The sequence below is a fragment of the Homo sapiens genome, chromosome 11, assembly GCF_000001405.40.
Source record: "Homo sapiens chromosome 11, GRCh38.p14 Primary Assembly".
Lineage (NCBI taxonomy): Eukaryota > Metazoa > Chordata > Mammalia > Primates > Hominidae > Homo > Homo sapiens.
This window is the reverse complement of record NC_000011.10, coordinates 8,396,485-8,415,462: the sequence shown is the minus strand read 5'-3', so window position 1 is coordinate 8,415,462 and position 18,978 is coordinate 8,396,485. Positions and strand designations below refer to the sequence as shown.

At 38.3% G+C, this 18,978-nt stretch overlaps 1 protein-coding gene across 53 annotated transcripts in view; it reads left to right on the top strand.

Moving 5' to 3' along the window:
- Window positions 1–18,978, top strand: part of STK33 (serine/threonine kinase 33) — a 259,405-nt gene that overhangs the window by 178,766 nt on the left and 61,661 nt on the right. For 45 of the 53 annotated variants that reach the window (XR_007062494.1, XM_047427469.1, NM_001289059.2 and 42 more), the window contains one exon: window positions 1,771–1,968. The exons of the other annotated variants lie outside the window; for them this stretch is intronic. Coding sequence is in view for 44 of the 45 variants with exons in the window: in XM_047427469.1 (XP_047283425.1) it covers window positions 1,771–1,968 (198 nt within the window). In the remaining variant the exon portion in view is untranslated. The remainder of the gene's footprint in view (window positions 1–1,770; window positions 1,969–18,978) is intronic. 53 annotated transcript variants of the gene reach the window in all.

Below are 18,978 nucleotides of genomic sequence, written 5' to 3'. Positions count from 1 at the left end.
TGCATACTATCTCTTAAAGTTTTCACCCAGAAGTGATACATACCATTTCCAATCATGAATCACTGGCCAAAGTAAGGCACATGGTCATGTCCCAAAGTGGATAGAGAAGTGAAACTCTACCATGAGCCTAGAAGGAAGAAATGCTGGGCGAGTAGCATTAGTGACCACCACAGTTTCCAAAGACTTAACCTGGAGAGGGCTTGTCAGGGAGGAGCCACTGAGAACTGGTATTGCAGACTTAGATGTGTCAGATTGTCACTTTCTGCTAGTGAAAGAATCAAGTTGAGGCAAAGTTGTATGTACTTGCATTCCAGGACCCTGGTCACTGATTTTATGAAAATTAAGTTAGAGGTCAGGATGAAGCCAAGAAGTTGTAAGAGAGGAGAGATGGATCATAGGGACCAAGCAGAGCCCTGGAGAGCAGAACCCGTTCAGATGAGTGCTCTGAGACTATCTACCATTCTACCTGATTTCAGCTCTTTAATGGTTACTGTCACTGAGCCACTGTCTGTTTTCACTTGAGTTGACTACATAGTTGGGAATTCTGGGATATCTGACAGAAATGGATCTTAAATTGAACCTTCAAGGAAATGTAGGCTCTTGCTATGGACTGGCAGGAAGAAATGGCAATGGCATTCTAGGAGTAAGTAGGTAAGGGACAAACAAGTGCAAAACCAGTGTAAGGTGTAATGGGATGTTATGAACGTGGTAGGAGTACTGAGCTTCTTAAAACAAGGGGACAGAGAAGAATCACAGAGAATTAATTGCGTAGTGATCCTCATTTAGTTATTAGCATTCCATATTTAGTGTTTGTCTATGTCTTTAGCCACAAATACATTAAACTCAACAAGTCCTCAACAGTGTATTCAGATGGGTACCCCTAAAGTACCCTGTCTTATAGTTTTCTGTGTCACTGATGCTAAACATTTCAATACATCCATATACCAGGGTAATTTAGAATCGCTTCATAGCCATGCCCACACCTGAACTTCTCATTTTAATCTAAATATGATCCATTTTTTTGTCTAAATTTTTTCTAACAGTATGAGGTAAGAACAAAAATATTTAAGACACACCTAATCAAGCAGGAGCTATTTGAGCTTGCATTCATATATTTCTTGGCACATTACATGGGGTATTATATTTGGGAAAATACAGTTAATATAAAATGGTCAATTTTGGCATGGTATAGTCATATGCTGGGATAAGAACACTGTACCAAGTCAGTTATAATCAAATGACCACATTATATTTAAATCTTCCAGACAGGTAAGGGATTTCCAATTAAATATCTATATTCTTAGACACAGTGCTTGACTAATTGACTGAATTTAGATTTTTTTTTGCCTAGATATTTGGATGTTGTATAGACTCATCCTTAGCACTGGACGCACTGGCGTTTGGGCAACTTCTTTAGTTCTTTCAGCCTCCCTCTCAATTTTCTAAGAACAGCGCTATAGGGGTATTTGGGTTCCAGGAAATTGCCCTGTGTAGTGTTCTTTGCACAAGCATGCTGCATTGTTCTTTCAAGCCTGAATATTTCCCCTGTTAACTTGGACATATTACACGTGATATCATGCAAGGGATGTGAGCCATGTGAGTACAGGGGTTGTACTCCAGTGGTCATCAGAAGTTTTCATATTTATTCAGCATTATAATCTTTTCCATGTGACTATTACTGAATTTGGGAGACTGTCTCGCTAAATGATGTAGGTATCGTCTCAATTCTCTAAGTTGTTTATAACACCAAAAATTGATTGTTAATATTAGGGCAATAAACTTTCTTCGGTGAGACCAACCAATGTATTAGAGATGATGAAGGAATGGAAAAATAACCCAGAAAGTGTTGAGGAAAACACAACAGAAGAGAAGAATAAGCCGTCCACTGAAGAAAAGTTGAAAAGTTACCAACCCTGGGGAAATGTCCCTGATGCCAATTACACTTCAGATGAAGAGGAGGAAAAACAGGTAGGAAGAATCATTGCTGCATTTCTCCCAAGTGTAAAATACCCTCACCACACCTGGAACATTTTTTTTGCAAATCTGTCTTTTTGTTGTTAGTTTGTAACAAAGGCCGAGCGTTATATAGCAAGTAAAGTTCTTTCTGCCTTATAAGGCTAGCATGATTTAGCGAGGTGGCCTACATGTTTATTTTAAGGTTGGTGATTATGTAGGGCAGGTGTCTGCAAACTTTTTCTGTAAGGGAACAAACAGTAAATATTTTAGGCTTTGTGGGCCCTAGTAGTCTTTGTCACAACTACTCATCTCTGACGTTGTAGCGTGAAAACAGCCATAGACAACAAATGAATGAGTGTGGCCATGTTCCAACTCAACTATTTTTTCCCCCAAAACAGATGGCATGCCAAATTTGGCCCAAGAATCAAAATTAATAATTTTTGTACTCTACCAGACTATAGAATTTGGAATGGATCTATGTATTACTTAGAAAATGATAATTATTCAGTTATTTGTGTCTGAATTTATGGTAACAAAAACTTTTTATATAGGTTTATTATTTTACCTTATTAGTTCTGAATGCAGTTTTATTCTTTTTAATGAATAGAATTGAATAACATTTTGATTAGTTCTAGATTGTGATCCGTTAACTGGATATCCTGACAAAGTTTACCCAAAGGTCCTCTTCCCTGCTTCCTTGTTTGTTTCTGAATTTGCAGAAAATTTCTCTGTATGTGTTTGTTCTCCTTCCTGTCTTGAAATCTAATTAACATATCTGAACTATTATTTAATAATTGAGCATCCTGCCAGCAGGGACTGTGTTCACCTCAGGGTAGCCAGACTTCTCGTGAGGAGTCACTGGTTTCTGATTCTAGAAATCAGAATTAGGCAGAGTGCAGAGAGGGACTGCCAGGGTAAATCCTGGACCAGATTCAGGGAGGTGCAGCATTGCTGGCCTACACCCCTCCATGCCAAGAATCCTCTCAGTAACTTACAGAAAGGGACATGGTAACATGATCTATTCATTGATTTTGATTTAGTGGTTGAGAACTTCTTCATTACTTTATAGCAAATGTTTAGATAATAAGCATAACATAATGATTTAGATATTTTGAGATTATAATATTTTTACCATAATGTAGACATAAGCTCATTGAATTCTTTTTCCTCTCTAGTGTGTTAACTCCTACGATGCTTAGCTCTTGAGTGTATTTTATATTCTCCTTAAAAATAATATCATAAAATTCCATGTTTGCATTTCTTATTGAACATAGTTTGAAGATTTTTGTTGGCTGACTTGGCATTTTGTACAGATATACATACTTATGCACACACATACACATATACATGTATACACATATACTCACATATTCTTACACATACATACATCTACATATACTCACATATGTACAATTATACACACGTTTTGTGGCCTTGAGTTGTATTTGTCACTGCATCTAACATAAAATATGCTTGCGAACCAAATGTCTTCCATCCCCTTTTCCATTGCCGTGTCACACTTTTCCCCTCCCACTCCTCCAGCCGCCCCTGCAAGTCACAAATTAATGAAACTTATGATGTGATTCTCAGCTACATCAACTAGGGAACAGAAGAATTGGAATTTGAATTGTTTGTGGATGCTAGAACTATACCAGTGGGTTGACATTTCAAGAATATAGAAATGGTAAGAATGTTGGTTGATATTTTAGGAATGTAGGTTTCATCGACAGGAAAAATTTTTCCATAGTCAGAGTTCACCAGCAATGGAAAAAGGCTGGGCCGTGGGTAACAAACCTTCCACCTCCCCATCATTGGAAGTATTCAAGCAGACTCTGGAAGGCTACTTGTTATAAATGCCATAACAGTAATTCTTGCAAGGTGGGTAGGAGCTTGTCTTCCCTTGATGTCCTCTAAGGAACTTTCCCATGCTTAGGTTTGGGAATTTCTCAAAAGCCAGGGTAATCACACCTTTTGAAACAATGGCAGAGCTCTTGGAAAACTAGCAGACAGGGTAAGTGAGGATGTGTTAAAAACAAAAACAAAAGCAAAAGCACTTGAACTCAGCACCTTCCTCCTTCCCTAAATAATGGTCCCTTAGTTCCAAATGCCTCGGACATTATGGGAAAATGCAGTCTGCATCTCCTCATTGTTCATATTTGGACTAAGATATCACACACTTGTTTCAGATTTGTTTTCAAATAGTTGGCACTTGGCAATGTCCTTTTGTTTATTTCCACCATTGGTTATGGTATTCTGAGGACAGTAATGTTCTCTCATGTATATCTTGTTTCTCACATGCCGAGGACATCTAGATAATGTTTTGTGCTATTGGTAATCCTCTGAATTCTCTAAGACAAAGTCTTTATCAGCTTTACTGGATAGACTTGACTTTCACTCCTGCAATAGCATTTGCTCATCTTCTGATGAGACACTTGGCAGACCACTGCTTATTGCAGTAGTGTGCCTTTTAACATTAGGTCCTTAATGATGCCTGATAAATGGTATATGCTTTCATTATTCATAAGCTCAGAAAACAATTGGAGAGAAATGAATGTCCATAATTAAAGTATACCTCCCCATAACCATAGAGGAAGGGACTGGAATCTCTAGATGCAATACAAGTATATTTCCATTATGGAATTCTTGCTTTGTAATGGAGAAACTTCCTAGTTATAAAATTGTTTATTTAACACAGTCTTGAATGAATTTGTTTAATGAAAATAGAAGATTTTCAGGCCAGGCGTGGTGGTTCACGCCTGTAATCCCAGCACTTTGGGAGGCCCAGATGGGTGGATCACCTGAGGTCAGGAGTTCAACACCAGCCTGGACAACATGGCGAAACCCTGTCTCTACTAAAAATACAAAAAGTAGCTGGGCACAGTGGCAATCACCTATAATCCCAACTACTTGGGAGGCTGAGGCAGGAGAATCGCTTGAACCCAAGAGGCGGAGGTTGCAGTTAGCCAAGATCACGCCACTGCACTCCAGCCTGGGCAATGGAATGAGACTTTGTCTCAGAAAAAAAAAAAAAAAAAAGAAAAGAAAAGAAAATAGATTTTTGCCATTATTTTCTTTTGTGATAATTTTTCCTTGACTGAAAACCTAGTTGTTATAGTATTGTAGGAGATAGTACATGTAGCAGTTGCTTTATCTAGGCTAGAAAGTAGAAAGGCATGGTGGTTTAAAAACTTTGAAAAATTATTTTGATAAATGGTATGTGTTCGTAAAACATTTTTTCAAAGACAAGAAATGTTGACATTTAAATAACATTGAAATTTAATACTTTGATATGTTGATAATGTTTCTGTGAGGAAAAACTTAAATTTTCGTGATATTTTAGTGAGTGGGATAAAAATTTTCTTTTCCTGAAAATTACATTTTAGCTTTCTGAGTCCATGAGAACTATCATATGAAAATGTGACAGTACTTGCATAATTGTGGCACACTTTCTTATCCCAGTATTGAAGCATTGCAATATGGCATATGTACCCAAGCACAGCCCTTAAAATATCATAATAGTTAAAAGTATAACTTCGGATCTAGGCTGCCTGGATTCAGATTCTGGCTTCACCACTTACAAGCTTTATGATGTTCGGCAAGTCTCTAGGCCTCCATTTTCTCATCTGTAAAATAGGAATAATAATCTCACCAACTAAGTGCTAGGTGAAATCATGCACGTAACACTCTTGTCACGTGGTAAGTACTTATTAATGTTAGCCATTAATGCTTTCATTATTATATTACTAAAAATGTATATAGAATATTACTAAAATTGCATATATTTTCCTGGCTGTATCAAGGCTCCTTTGGGTATAAGTGTGGGAATAAACTAGTAAACAGACCAAGAAATTTCATTTTCAGAAGTGATAATGTGCTGCTTCTAACCTTGTTTGCCCTCTGAGTTTGGTGAGTTACTTAAGGTACTGTGGAAGATTGGATTCTTGTTTCCAATTAATTATTCCTTTCCTGTAAATAATTTGTACATGCATATCCTTTGCCATGTGACTTTGCAGTTCTCCCTGGTAGAACTGTTGAAGGCTATTTTCTCATCCTACTAATGTTGGTCTTGGCCGTTATTCTGGCTGATGGAACGTTAAAAGGGTGTAATGAAAGCAGAGACCTTAAAAGTGTTTGCATGATTTAGCTTGCTCTCTTCTATTTCTGTCACCTGCCGTGAGAAGAGCATGCCTGCAGAAAGCCACAGGTTCCAGAATTGTGGAGATTTGTGGAACAGATCTGAATTCAGTCTAATACTTGAAGTTTAGCCTGGCACAACCAAACTGAAATTAATTGAGAAAAATAAATACTTGCTGTTACAAGATACTGAGATTTTTGCAGTTGTTTGTTGTATAGTTGTGCAGAAAAGAGTTAAATAGGTGGCCTCAACTGCTATCCTTCAAAAGACCTATTTATTTGCAAGGTTGACCCTTGGCTCATTTCTGGGAACTTAGCTAATTTTGTCTAAACTGTTTGTGCAAACAATATGGTTTATGCTGAATACCTACTTTCCTTCTGGGAGTCTGGGATTTTGGTAGATGCTAGGCAGAGGCTGCCTACGTGACCATGGATGCTGAGTCTCCAATGGGCTTCCATGGTTGGCAACATTTCACATATGCTGTCACAACTAATTGCAGGGGGAATTAAGCACATCCTCTGCAACTCCCCTGGGAGAGGACACTTGGAAGCTTGCTCGTGGTTTCTCTTGGATTTAGCCTGAAGTGTCTTTTCCTTTTGCTGGTTGTGCTTTGCATCCTTGCACTGTAATAAGTCATAGCCATGAGTACGAATATAAATGTCAAGTCCTGTGAGTCCTCCCAGTGACTCATTGAACCTGGGGGTGATTGTGGGGACCTCTCAAACATAGTTGAATAACTACTGCAATAGCAGACTAATACAGGTACAAATAACTAATTGTGCTAACATGAATCTTGACCTGTTATTTGATCTAATGCTGCTTGCAATGCGAGTTGCTGGCCTGGATTCATAGGCTCCCATAAACAAGGCTTTTGTTCTAAGGGGATATTTTGTCCCTACTTCTACTCCCACACAAGAGCTTTTTGTATAAGGCTTAGGTTTTACCACAGGCTTAACCAGATTCCCATTTTTGCAAAGATGTATTAGTGAATCCTTTAAATCACTTCCCTCTCTTCCCAAGCCTGACTTTTGCTCAGCTCCCCTTAGGGCCTATAGCTGTCTGGCCATGCTATGCATATCCTTTCTCTATAGAGAACCAACCCATTGTGTTGGGTTATAACAAGTATTGCTTCAATTTCAAATGTATTAATTTGGGTCCATTTATCTCTTACCCTACCTTTATGCTATAAGTGTTACATGTATTATATCTACATAATTATAAACCCCACAAAATAATGATATAATTTGTGCTTTAAATTGTCATGTATGTTTTCAAGAAATTAAGAGGAAAAATTTCTTATATTTATCCAGATAGTTATCATTTCTGATACTCTTCTTTCCTTTTTTCTTAACTTTTGATCATTTTTTCTGATGAACTATCTGTGGAAATTTGAAATGTTCTTCACTTATATGTATTGTGTCACTTTTCTCTGGATGCTTTCAAGGTCATCTCTTTATCTTTGATTTTCAGCAGTTTAACAATGCTATTGCTAAGCGTGTTCTTCTTCACTTTTATCCTGCTTGGGGTTTGCTGAGCTCTGTGAATCTGTAAATTTGTACCTTTAGCCACGTTTTGGAAGTTTTGTCATTACCTTTTCCTTTTTTTTCTGAGACTCCAATTACTCATATATTAGACAGTGTGATATCGTTCTATAGGTTCCTGAGGCACTATCCATTTTTTAATCTTTTTTTTTCTATTCTTTACATTGGATACTTTCTATTGATCTATCTTCAGGCTTACTGGCTCTTAATGACTTAATGCCAGTACATTGAGAAATTTATATGAAATGGTCAAATTTCTTTTAAAAGTACAAAAACAGTTACACAAAAATAGAAAATCTGAATCGTTCTGTATTTATTTTTAAAATCATGTCTGTAGTAAAGAACTTTACTAAAAAGAAAACTTTATTCCCAAATGATTTCACTGTCTAATTCTTCTAAATCTTTGAAGAAGAAATAAGAGAAAACTTATACACCAACTCTTGAGAATATTTCCCAACTCATTTATAAGGCATGTTTGCCTTATAAATAACAACAATACCTAAACATGACAAGGATGTTACAAGAAAATTATTAGCCAATATCTCTCATAAATTATAGACGTAAAAATTTCAAATGATATTAGCAAACTGAATCCAGAAATATATAAAAGAATAGCATATCATAATTAAGTGTTTGCAGTGTATTCCAGGAATGCAGGTTTGGATTAACATCCAAAAATCAAACAACATAATTCACTATGTATAGATAAAGGAGAAAGCTATATAATTATCTCAATGATTTTGGGAAAAGCATTTGATAAAATTCAACACTCAAACATGAGAAAATCCTCTGCAGACTAGGAATAAAAGGGAACTTCTTTTACATAATAAGAGATTTTACAAAAAAAAAAAATCCAAAACTACAATTAGTATCATTCTTAATGGCAAAATATTGAGTATTTTCATGCTAAAGATAGGAGAAAGGCAAGGAACGATGTTCTCTCTCACTAATTCTCTTTATCATTGTACAAAAGGTTCTAGCTGATGCAACAAGGCAATTAAAAGAAATAAAATTATATATATTGTAAAGGAAGAATAAAACTGTCTTTACTTGCAGATGACATGTTTGTATACATAGAAAATCCCAAGGAATCTACAAAAAGTGAATTAAAGAGGTTGCTGGATGCAAGATCTATATATAAAAATTGTATTGTTATATATTCGCAGTGAACAATTGGGAAATAAAATTTTAAAATACTAATTGCCACAAAACATAAAACACTTAGTGAAAAATCTAACAAAATATATGCAAAATATTTATACCAAAACCATGAAATGCTGTTGAGCAAAATTGAAAAAGACTGAAATAGTTGGAGAGATATACCATGTTTATGGTTTAGAATATTTGGTACTATTAAGATGTCAGTTCTCCCCAAATTAACTTACATGTTTAAACCAATCCCAGTTGAAATCTAGAACACTTGCTTTTTTGTTATAAATTGACAAGATGATTCTAAAATTTATTTGGAGATACATAAAACCTGGAACAGACAAAATAACCTAAAAAGAACAAAGTTGCAAGACTTATATGACTTGATGTCAACATTTACTACATAGATACAGTAATTAATACAATGTGGTATTGATGTAAGGATAAACAAATAGATTAGTAGAACAAAATTGGGAGTCTAGAAATAGACCCATGTTTATACAGTCAGTTGATTTTTTTTTTTTTTTTTTTTTTTTTTTGAGACGGAGTCTCGCTCTGTCACCCAGCCTGGAGTGCGGTGGCGCGATCTCGGCTCACTGCAAGCTCCGCCTCCCAGGTTCCCGCCATTCTCCTGCCTCAGCCTGCGGAGTAGCTGGGACTACAGGCACCCGCCACCATGCCCGGCTAATTTTTTTGTATTTTTAGTAGAGATGGGGTTTCACCATGTTAGCCAGGATGGTCTCGATCTCCTGACCTCGTGATCCGCCCACCTCGGCCTCCCAAAGTGCTGGGATTACAGGCGTGAGCCACCGCGCCCGGCCCAGTCAGTTGATTTTTGACAGAGATTTCAAAGCAATTCGAAGGGGTAAATGATAGTCTTTTTAATAAATAATGCTAGAACAATAGTAGATATATATGAGGGAAGATGAAATTTGACCCCCTAGCTAAAACTGTACACAAAAATTAGTTTGAGAAGGGTAGAACTAAATCTAAAAGCGAAACTGTAAAGCTCCTAGGATAAAACATAAGAGACTATCTTCCATCCAGCAGATAGTCAAAGATTCTTAGAACATAGACACAGAAAGCACTTTTAAAAACTGGTAAAATGATTCCTAAAAATAAAACACATTTGCTCATCAAAAGCATGTTAAAAAATAAGCCACAGACAGGGAGAAAATATTTGCAATAAATATATATGACAGAAGACTTGCATGCAGAATATATAAACAACTCCTACATTGCAATAAGGCAATCCATGTTTTAAAATAGTCAGTAGACTTGAACAGACACTTCACATAGGAAGATATACAAGTAGTCAATAAGCATATGAAAAGATGCTAAACATCATTAGTCATCAGGAAAATGGAAATTAAGTCCACCACAGGATATCACTACATACTTTCTAGAACGGCCAAAATTAAAAACTAACAAGTCCAGATATTGGCAAGGATATGAAACAACTGGAATTTTCCCACCTTGCTGGTGGGAATGCAAAATGGTACTATTCTTTCAGAATATAGTTTGGCATTTACTTTTTTTTATGTGTGTGATGGAGTCTTGCTCTGTCACCCAGGCTGGATTGCAATGGCGCAATCTCAGCTCACTGCAACCTCCGCTTCCTGGGTTCAAGCAATTCCTGCCTCAGCCTCCTGGGTAGCTGGGACTACAGGTGTGCCACCACACCCAGCTAATTTTTTGTATTTTTAATAGAGATGGGGTTTTACTGTGTTAGTCAGGATGGTCTCTATCTCCTGACCTCGCGATCCGCCTACCTTGGCCTCCCAAAGTGCTGGGATTACAGGCGTGAGCCACCGCGCCTGGCTGGCATTTACTTTTAAGGTTAAGCATTCATTTACCATTTATCCAGCAATCCCAAGTTCACAAAAAGATTTGTAGTATATGTTTGTAGCGGATTTATGTATAAGCAGCCCCAAACTGGAAACATCCCAAATATTCATTAACAGAAGAATGAGTAAACAAATTGTGGTACATCCATACAATGGAGCATTACTTGGCAAGAAAAAAGAAATGAGTTACTATTACATAGATGAATCTCAAAAACCTATGTCTCAATAGCATGAGAATCTACGAATATCTGAATAAAAATTCAATTAAAAATGTTAAGCAGAATAACTCAGATATAAAAGAGTACATAATGCATTCTTTTTCATGTATATGAAGTTTAGAAAAGGCAAAGCTAATTTATGTTGAAAAAATCAGAATAGTTGTGGCCCCCAGGAGAAGAGGGTTGACTGGGTTGTGGCAAGAGAGAACTTTCTTGGTAATTGTTCTATTTCCTGATTGTGGTGTTGGTTATACAGGCCTAAGTGTTTGTCAAAACTCATCAAACTGTACACTTCAGATATGTGTATTCTGTATATAGATTATACCTCAGTTACAAAGAAAAGAAAGATATTTATATTTTTCTCTAATTTGCAAGTTAGATTTCATTTCTGTTGACTCCACACAAGACCCAGATCTTTATGCAAGTAACCTTAGAAGTCTATATATTTGGAAGTCAATTTTTCTTCTTCCCTTAGCTTTTCTTTCCCTTCCTTCTTCTGAAAACCATAGGGATGTGAGGAAGGTGGGTAGCCATTACACACAAAACTATAGCATTAAACTTATATCAGAATTTTGTCATTTGGACCTTGTGCAGGCCTATAATTTGAATGTGTGACTCTAGAAATTGTTGCTATGGTGATAAACCACTTTACTTAAATAGCATGTATTTTACTCAAAATTCAGAGAAATGCTAACAGTTTCTAGTAATCATGCACTGGTATTAACTGGCAGGGATATGCCTAGAGCTTACAGGTTTTGCATCCATTATCACCAGACAAGTTCATCAGGTTAAAGCTATGCCAGTGAATAAGGAAATATGTATAGTTAGTCCAGTTTTCCTGTTACATATCTCCCCTTGCACACATGGAGCCCCCTTTTCAAGATTAATAATATAAGCTAGAGAAATTAGGCCAAGGGTACTGAATTACAAAAAGGTGAAACTGGAGGAAGGCTTGTAAGGTCATCTTTTCCATCATTCTGCCTCCAATAGAACTGACTATTCTTCAACTGTCCCAAATGGTAAGAATTTGCCAGAGATGAAGAACAATTGAAATGCTGCTTGAGGCAGCCCTTGATGTAACCGTCCTGAATGCAGCACTCAGAGATGCTGTCCACCTCCACAGTGCTGAAATATGCCTCCTTCTTCATTTTATAGATTTTGATTATATATAGCCTCTTATTCTTTACCTTTTAGATTGAAGAGCTCTCTTAAAAAGAAACCTTCATCCCTTAATCATATTAGTAGCCTGTCTGTAAACATTCTCTGGTCCCTTTATATCTGTTCAAGCTGGTTGCAGTGTTTCAGGTACGAATTCATCATGATTTTATATAAGGATAGAAATTTTTTTCTTTGATTTCTAAAATGCTTTCTGATGATAGCTAGGTTTTTCTGACCAGTGTGCAATGGTACATAGACTAGTATCTTCAAAGAACAGCCTACAGTGATTTTGAGGTCTTCTCTTGGGTTGGTAAATATATGCCCAACAGTCTCATAATGATCATTTACAATCTTTCCCCTTAGAACTAAGTGTTGAAATTCCTCTGTTATCTTTCTCCCCCTTTGTACAGTCTTACGGGAGCTCATCACCTTCTATTTGCTTTTCCTGACCTGGAAGATCTTATAGCCTTGGCAATTTCATTTTTCATTTCTCTGTTCTATTACTTACAAAACTATAAAATTGCATCAGTGACAGCATAGATCCCTGAGGAATCCCTCCAGCTATGAGAGAAGAAAAGGAGAAACGCAAAACTTAGATAATCTATAACCTAACAAAATAAAGCCCTGAAAAATTAAGATTTGTTCATGTTTCTAGATAAAGCTTGGAAGCTGGAATTTGCCTTGCCCACTCCAGGAACTAAGAGGCTTGGCTCTTTGTGAAGAAAACTATGGCCTGGCCTGGAGGGCACCATGGTGGCCATTCAGCATCCGTGTCCTGTTAGCATCAGAGGAATGGTTTCAATGAAAGATATTTGAGGGGAGTCTCAGATTCTTTTTTTTATTATTATAATTTAAGTTTTAGGGTACATGTGCACAACATGCAGGTTTGTTACATATGTATACATGTGCCATGTTGGTGTGCTGCACCCATTAACTCATCATTTAACATTAGGTGTATCTCCTAATGCTATCCCTCCTCGCTGCCCCCACCCCACAACAGGCCCCGGTGTGTGATGTTCCCCTTCCTGTGTCCATCTGTTCTCATTGTTCAATTCCCACCTATGAGTGAGAACACGTGGTGTTTGGTTTTTTGTCCTTGTGATAGTTTGCTGAGAATGATGGTTTCCAGCTTCATCCATGTCCCTACAAAGGACATGAACTCATCATTTTTATGGCTGCATAGTATTCCATGGTGTATATGTGCCTCATTTTCTTAATCCAGTCTATCATTGTTGGACATTTGGGTTGGTTCCAAGTCTTTGCTATTGTGAATAGTGCCGCAATAAACATACGTGTGCATGTGTCTTTATAGCAGCATGATTTATAATCCTTTGGGTATATACCAAGTAATGGGATTGCTGGGTCAAATGGTAATTCTAATTCTAGATCCCTGAGGAATCGCCACACTGACTTCCACAATGGTTGAACTAGTTTACAGTCCCACCAACAGTGTAAAAGTGTTCCTATTTCTCCACATCTTCTCCAGCACCTGTTGTTTCCTGACTTTTTAATGATCGCCATTCTAACTGGTGTGAGATGGTATCTCATTGTGGTTTTGATTTGCATTTCTCTGATGGCCAGTGATGATGAGCATTTTTTCACGTGTCTTTTGGCTGCGTAAATGTCTTCTTTTGAGAAGTGTCCGTTCATATCCTTTGCCCACTTTTTGATGGGGTTGTTTTTTCTTGTAAATTTGTTTGAATTCATTATAGATTCTGGATATTAGCCCTTTGTCAGATGAGTAGATTGCAAAAATTTTCTCCCATTCTGTAGGTTGCCTGTTCACTCTGATGGTAGTTTCTTTTGCTATGCAGAAGCTCTTTAGTTTAATTAGATCCCATTTGTCAATTTTGACTTTTGTTGCCATTGCTTTTGGTGTTTTAGACATGAAGTCCTTGCCCATGCCTATGTCCTGAATGGTATTGCCTAGGTTTTCTTCTAGGGTTTTTATGGTTTTAGGTCTTAACATTTAAGTCTTTAATCCATCTTGAATTAATTTTTATATGAGGTGTAAGGAAGGGATCCAGTTTCAGCTTTCTACATATGGCTAACCAGTTTTCCCAGCACCATTTATTAAATAGGGAATCGTTTCCCTATTTCTTGTTTTTGTCAGGTTTGTCAAAGATCAGATGGTTGTAGATATGCAGCATTATTTCTGAGGGCTCTGTTCTGTTCCATTGGTCTATATCTCTGTTTTGGTACCAGTACCATGCTGTTTTGGTTACTGTAGCCTTGTTGTATAGTTTGAAGTCAGGTAGCGTGATGCCTCCAGCTTTGTTCTTTTGGCTTAGGATTGACTTGGCAATGTGGGCTCTTTTTTGGTTCCATATTAACTTTAAAGCAGTTTTTTCCAATTCTGTGAAGAAAGTCATTGGTAGCTTGATGGGTATGGCATTGAATGTATAAATTACCTTGGGTAGTATGGCCATTTTCACGATATTGATTCTTCCTACCCATGAGCATGGAATGTTCTTCCATTTCTTTGTATCCTCTTTTATTTCATTGAGCAGTGGTTTGTAGTTCTCCTTGAAGAGGTCCTTCACATCCCTTGTAAGTTGGATTCCTAGGTATTTTATTATCTGAAGCAATTGTGAATGGGAGTTCACTCATGATTTGGCTCTCTGTTTGTCTGTTATTGGTGTATAGGAATGTTTGTGATTTTTGCACATTGATTTTGTATCCTGAGACTTTGCTGAAGTTGCCTATCAGCTTAAGGAGATTTTGGGCTGAGATAATGGGGTTTTCTAGATATACAATCATGTCATCTGCAAACAGGGACAATTTGACTTCCTCTTTTCCTAATTGAATACCCTTTATTTCCTTCTCCTGCCTGATTGCCCTGGCCAGAACTTCCAACACTATGTTAAATAGGAGTGGTGAGAGAGGGCATCCCTGTCTTGTGCCAGTTTTCAAAGGGAATGCTTCCAGTTTTTGCCCATTCATTATGATATTGGCTGTGGGTTTGTCATAGATAGCTCTTATTATTTTGAGATACGTCCCATCAATACCTAATTTATTGAGAGTTTTTAGCATGAAGCATTGTTGAATTTTGTCAAAGGCCTTTTCTGCATCTATTGAGATAATCATATGGTTTTTGTCATTGGTTCTGTTTATATGCTGGATTACGTTTATTGATTTGCGTATGTTGAACCAGCCTTGCATCCCAGGGATGAAGCCGGCTTGATCATGGTGGATAAGCTTTTTGATGTGCTGCTGGATTCTGTTTGCCAGTATTTTATTGAGGATTTTTGCATCAATGTTTATCAGGGATATTGGTCTAAAATTCTCTTTTTTTGTTGTGTCTCTGCCAGGCTTTGGTATCAGGATGATGCTGGCCTCATCAAATGAGCTAGGGAGGATTCCCTCTTTTTCTATTGATTGGAATAGTTTCAGAAGGAATGGTACCAGCTCCTCTTTGTACCTCTGGTAGAATTTGGCTGTGAATCCATCTGGTCCTGGACTTTTTTTGGTTGGTAAGCTATTAATTATTGCCTCAATTTCAGAGCCTGTTATTGGTCTATTGAGAGATTCAACTTCTTCCTGGTTTAGTCTTGGGAGAGTGTATGTGTTGAGGAATTTATCCATTTCATCTAGATTTTCTAGTTTATTTGCATAGAGGTGTTTATAGTATTCTCTGATGGTAGTTTGTATTTCTGTGGGATCGGTGGTGATATCCCCTTTATCATTTTTTGTTGCATCTATTTGATTCTTCTCTCTTTTCTTCTTTATTAGTCTTGCTAGTGGTCTATCAATTTTGTTGATCTTTTCAAAAAACCAGCTCCTGGATTCATTGATTTTTTGAAGGGTTTTTTTGTGTATCTTTTTCCTTCAGTTCTGCTCTGATCTTAGTTATTTCTTGCCTTCTGCTAGCTTTTGAATGTGTTTGCTCTTGCTTCTCTAGTTCTTTTAATTGTGATGTTAGGGTGTCAGTTTTAGATCTTTCCTGCTTTCTCTTGTGGACATTTAGTGCTATAAATTTCCTTCTACACACTGCTTTGAATGCGTCCCAGAGATTCTGGTATATTGTGTCTTTGTTCTCATTGGTTTCAAAGAACATCTTTATTTCTGCCTTCATTTCGTTATGTACCCAGTAGTCATTCAGGAGCAGGTTGTTCAGTTTCCATGTAGTTGAGCGGTTTTGAGTGAGTTTCTTAATCCTGAGTTCTAGTTTGATTGCTCTGTTGTCTGAGAGACAGTTTGTTATAATTTCTTTTCTTTTACATTTGCTGAGGAGTGCTTTACTTCCAACTACGGGGTCAATTTTGGAATAGGTGTGGTGTGGTGCTGAAAAGAATGTATAGTCTGTTGATTTGGGGTGGAAAGTTCTGTAGAAGTCTATTAGGTCCACTTGGTGCAGAGCTGAGTTCAATTCCTGGATATCCTTTTTAACTTTCTGTCTCGTTGATCTGTCTAATGTTGACAGTGGGGTGTTAAAGTCTCCCATTATTATTGTGTTGGAGTCTAAGTCTCTTTGTAGGTCTCTAAGGACTTGCTTTATGAATCTGGGTGCTCCTGTATTGGGTGCATATATATTTAGGACAGTTAGCTCTTCTTGTTGAATTGATCCCTTTACCATTAAGTAATGGCCTTCTTTGTCTCTTTTGATCTTTGTTGGTTTAAAGTCTGTTTTATCAGAGACTAGGATTGCAACCCCTGCTTTTTTTTTTTTTGTTTTCCATTTGCTTGGTAGATCTTCCTCCATCCCTTTATTTTGAGCCTATGTGTGTCTCTGCACGTGAGATGAGTTTCCTGAATACAGCACACTGATGGATCTTGACTCTTTATCCAATTTGCCAGTCTGTGTCTTTTAATTGGAGCATTTAGCCTATTTACCTTTAAGGTTAATATTGTTACGTCTGAATTTGATCCTGTCATTATGATATTAGCTGGTTATTTTGCTCGTTAGTTGATGCAGTTTCTTCCTAGCCTTGATGGTCTTTACAATTTGGCATGTTTTTGCATTGGCTGGAACCTTTTGTTCCTTTCCATGTTTAGTGCTTCCTTCGGGAGCTCTTTTAGGGCAGGCCTGGTGGTGACAAAATCTCTCAGCATTTGCTTGTCTGTGAAGGATTTTATTTCTCTTTCACTTATGAAACTTAGTTTGGCTGGATATGAAATTGTGGGTTGAAAATTCTTTGCTTTAAGAATGTTGAATATTGGCCCCCACTGTCTTCTGGCTTGTAGAGTTTCTGCTGAGAGATCAGCTGTTAGTCTGATGGGCTTCACCTTGTGGGTAACCCGACCTTTCCCTCTGGCTGCCCTTAACATTTTTTCCTTCATTTCAACTTTGGTGAATCTGACAATTATGTGTCTTGGAGTTGCTCTTCTCGAGGAGTATCTTTGTGGCATTCTCTGTATTTCCTGAATTTGAATGTTGGCCTGCCTTGCTAGATTGGGGAAGTTCTCCTGGATAATATCGTGCAGAGTGTTTTCCAACTTGGTTCCATTCTCCCCATCACTTTCAGGTGCACCAATCAGACGTAGACTTGGTCTTTTCACATGGTCCCATATTTCTTGGAGGCTTTGTTCGTTTCTTTTTATTCTTTTTTCTCTAAACTTCTCTTCTTGCTTCATTTCATTCATTTGGTCTTCCATCACTGATACTGTTTCTTCCAGTTGATCGAATCGGCTACTGAGGCTTATGCATTTGTCATGTAGTTCTCATGCCATGGTTTTCAGCTCCATCAGGTCCTTTAACGACTTCTGTGCATTGGTTATCCTAGTTTGCCATTTGTCTATTTTTTTTTCAAGGTTTTTAACTTCTTTGCCATGGGTTCAGACTTCCTCCTTTAGCTCGGAGTAGTTTGATCATCTAAAGCCTTCTTTCTCAACTCGTCAAAGTCATTCTCCGTCCAGCTTTGTTCTGCTGCTGGTGAGAAGCTGTATTCCTTTGGAGGAGGAGAGGTGCTCCGATTTTTAGAGTTTCCAGTTTTTCTGCTCTGGTTTTTCCCCATCTTTGTGGTTTTATCTACCTTTGGTCTTTGATGATGGTGATGTACAGATGGGGTTTTGGTGTGGATGTCCTTTCTGTTTGTTAGTTTTTATTCTAACAGTCAGGACCCTCACCTGCAGGTCTGTTGGAGTTTGCTGGAGGTCCACTCCAGACCCTGTTTGCCTGGGTGTCAGCAGCGGAGGCTGCAGAACAGCGGATATTGGTGAACAGCAAATGTTGCTGCCTGATCATTCCTCTGGAAGTTTTGTCTCCGAGGAGTACCCGACCGTGTGAGGTGTCAGTCTGCCCCTACTTGGGGGTGCCTCCCAGTTAGGCTACTCAGGGGTCAGGGACCCACTTGAGGAGGCAGTCTGTCCATTCTCAGATGTCCAGCTGCGTGCTGGGAGAACTACTACTCTTTTCAAGGCTGTCAGACAGGGACATTTAAGTCTGCAGAGGATTCTGCTGCCTTTTGTTTGTCTGTGCCCTGCCCCCAGAGGTGGAGTCTACAGAGGCAGGCAGGCCTCCTTGAGCTGCGGTGGGCTCCACCCAGTTCGAGCTTCCTGGCCACTTTGTTTACCTACTCAAGCCTCGGCAATGGCGGGCGCCCCTCTCCCAGCCTCGTTGCAGCCTTGCAGTTTGATCTCAGACTGCTGTGCTAGCAATGAGCGAGGCTCCATGGGTGTAGGACCCTCTGAGCCAGGCACGGGATATAATCTCCTGGTGTGCTGTTTGCTAAGACCATTGGAAAAGCACAGTATTAGTGTGGGAGTGACCCGATTTTCCAAGTGCCATCTGTCACCCCTTTCTTTGACTAGGAAAGGGAATTCCCTGACCCCTTGCGCTTCCCGGGTGAGATGATGCCTCACCCTGCTTCGGCTCACGTTCGGTGCGCTGCACCCACTGTCCAACACTCCCCAGTGAGATGAACCTGGTACCTCAGTTGGAAATGCAGAAATCACCCATCTTCTGCGTCACTCACGCTGGGAGCTGTAGACTGGAGCTGTTCCTATTTGGCCATCTTGGCTCCACTGAGTCTCAG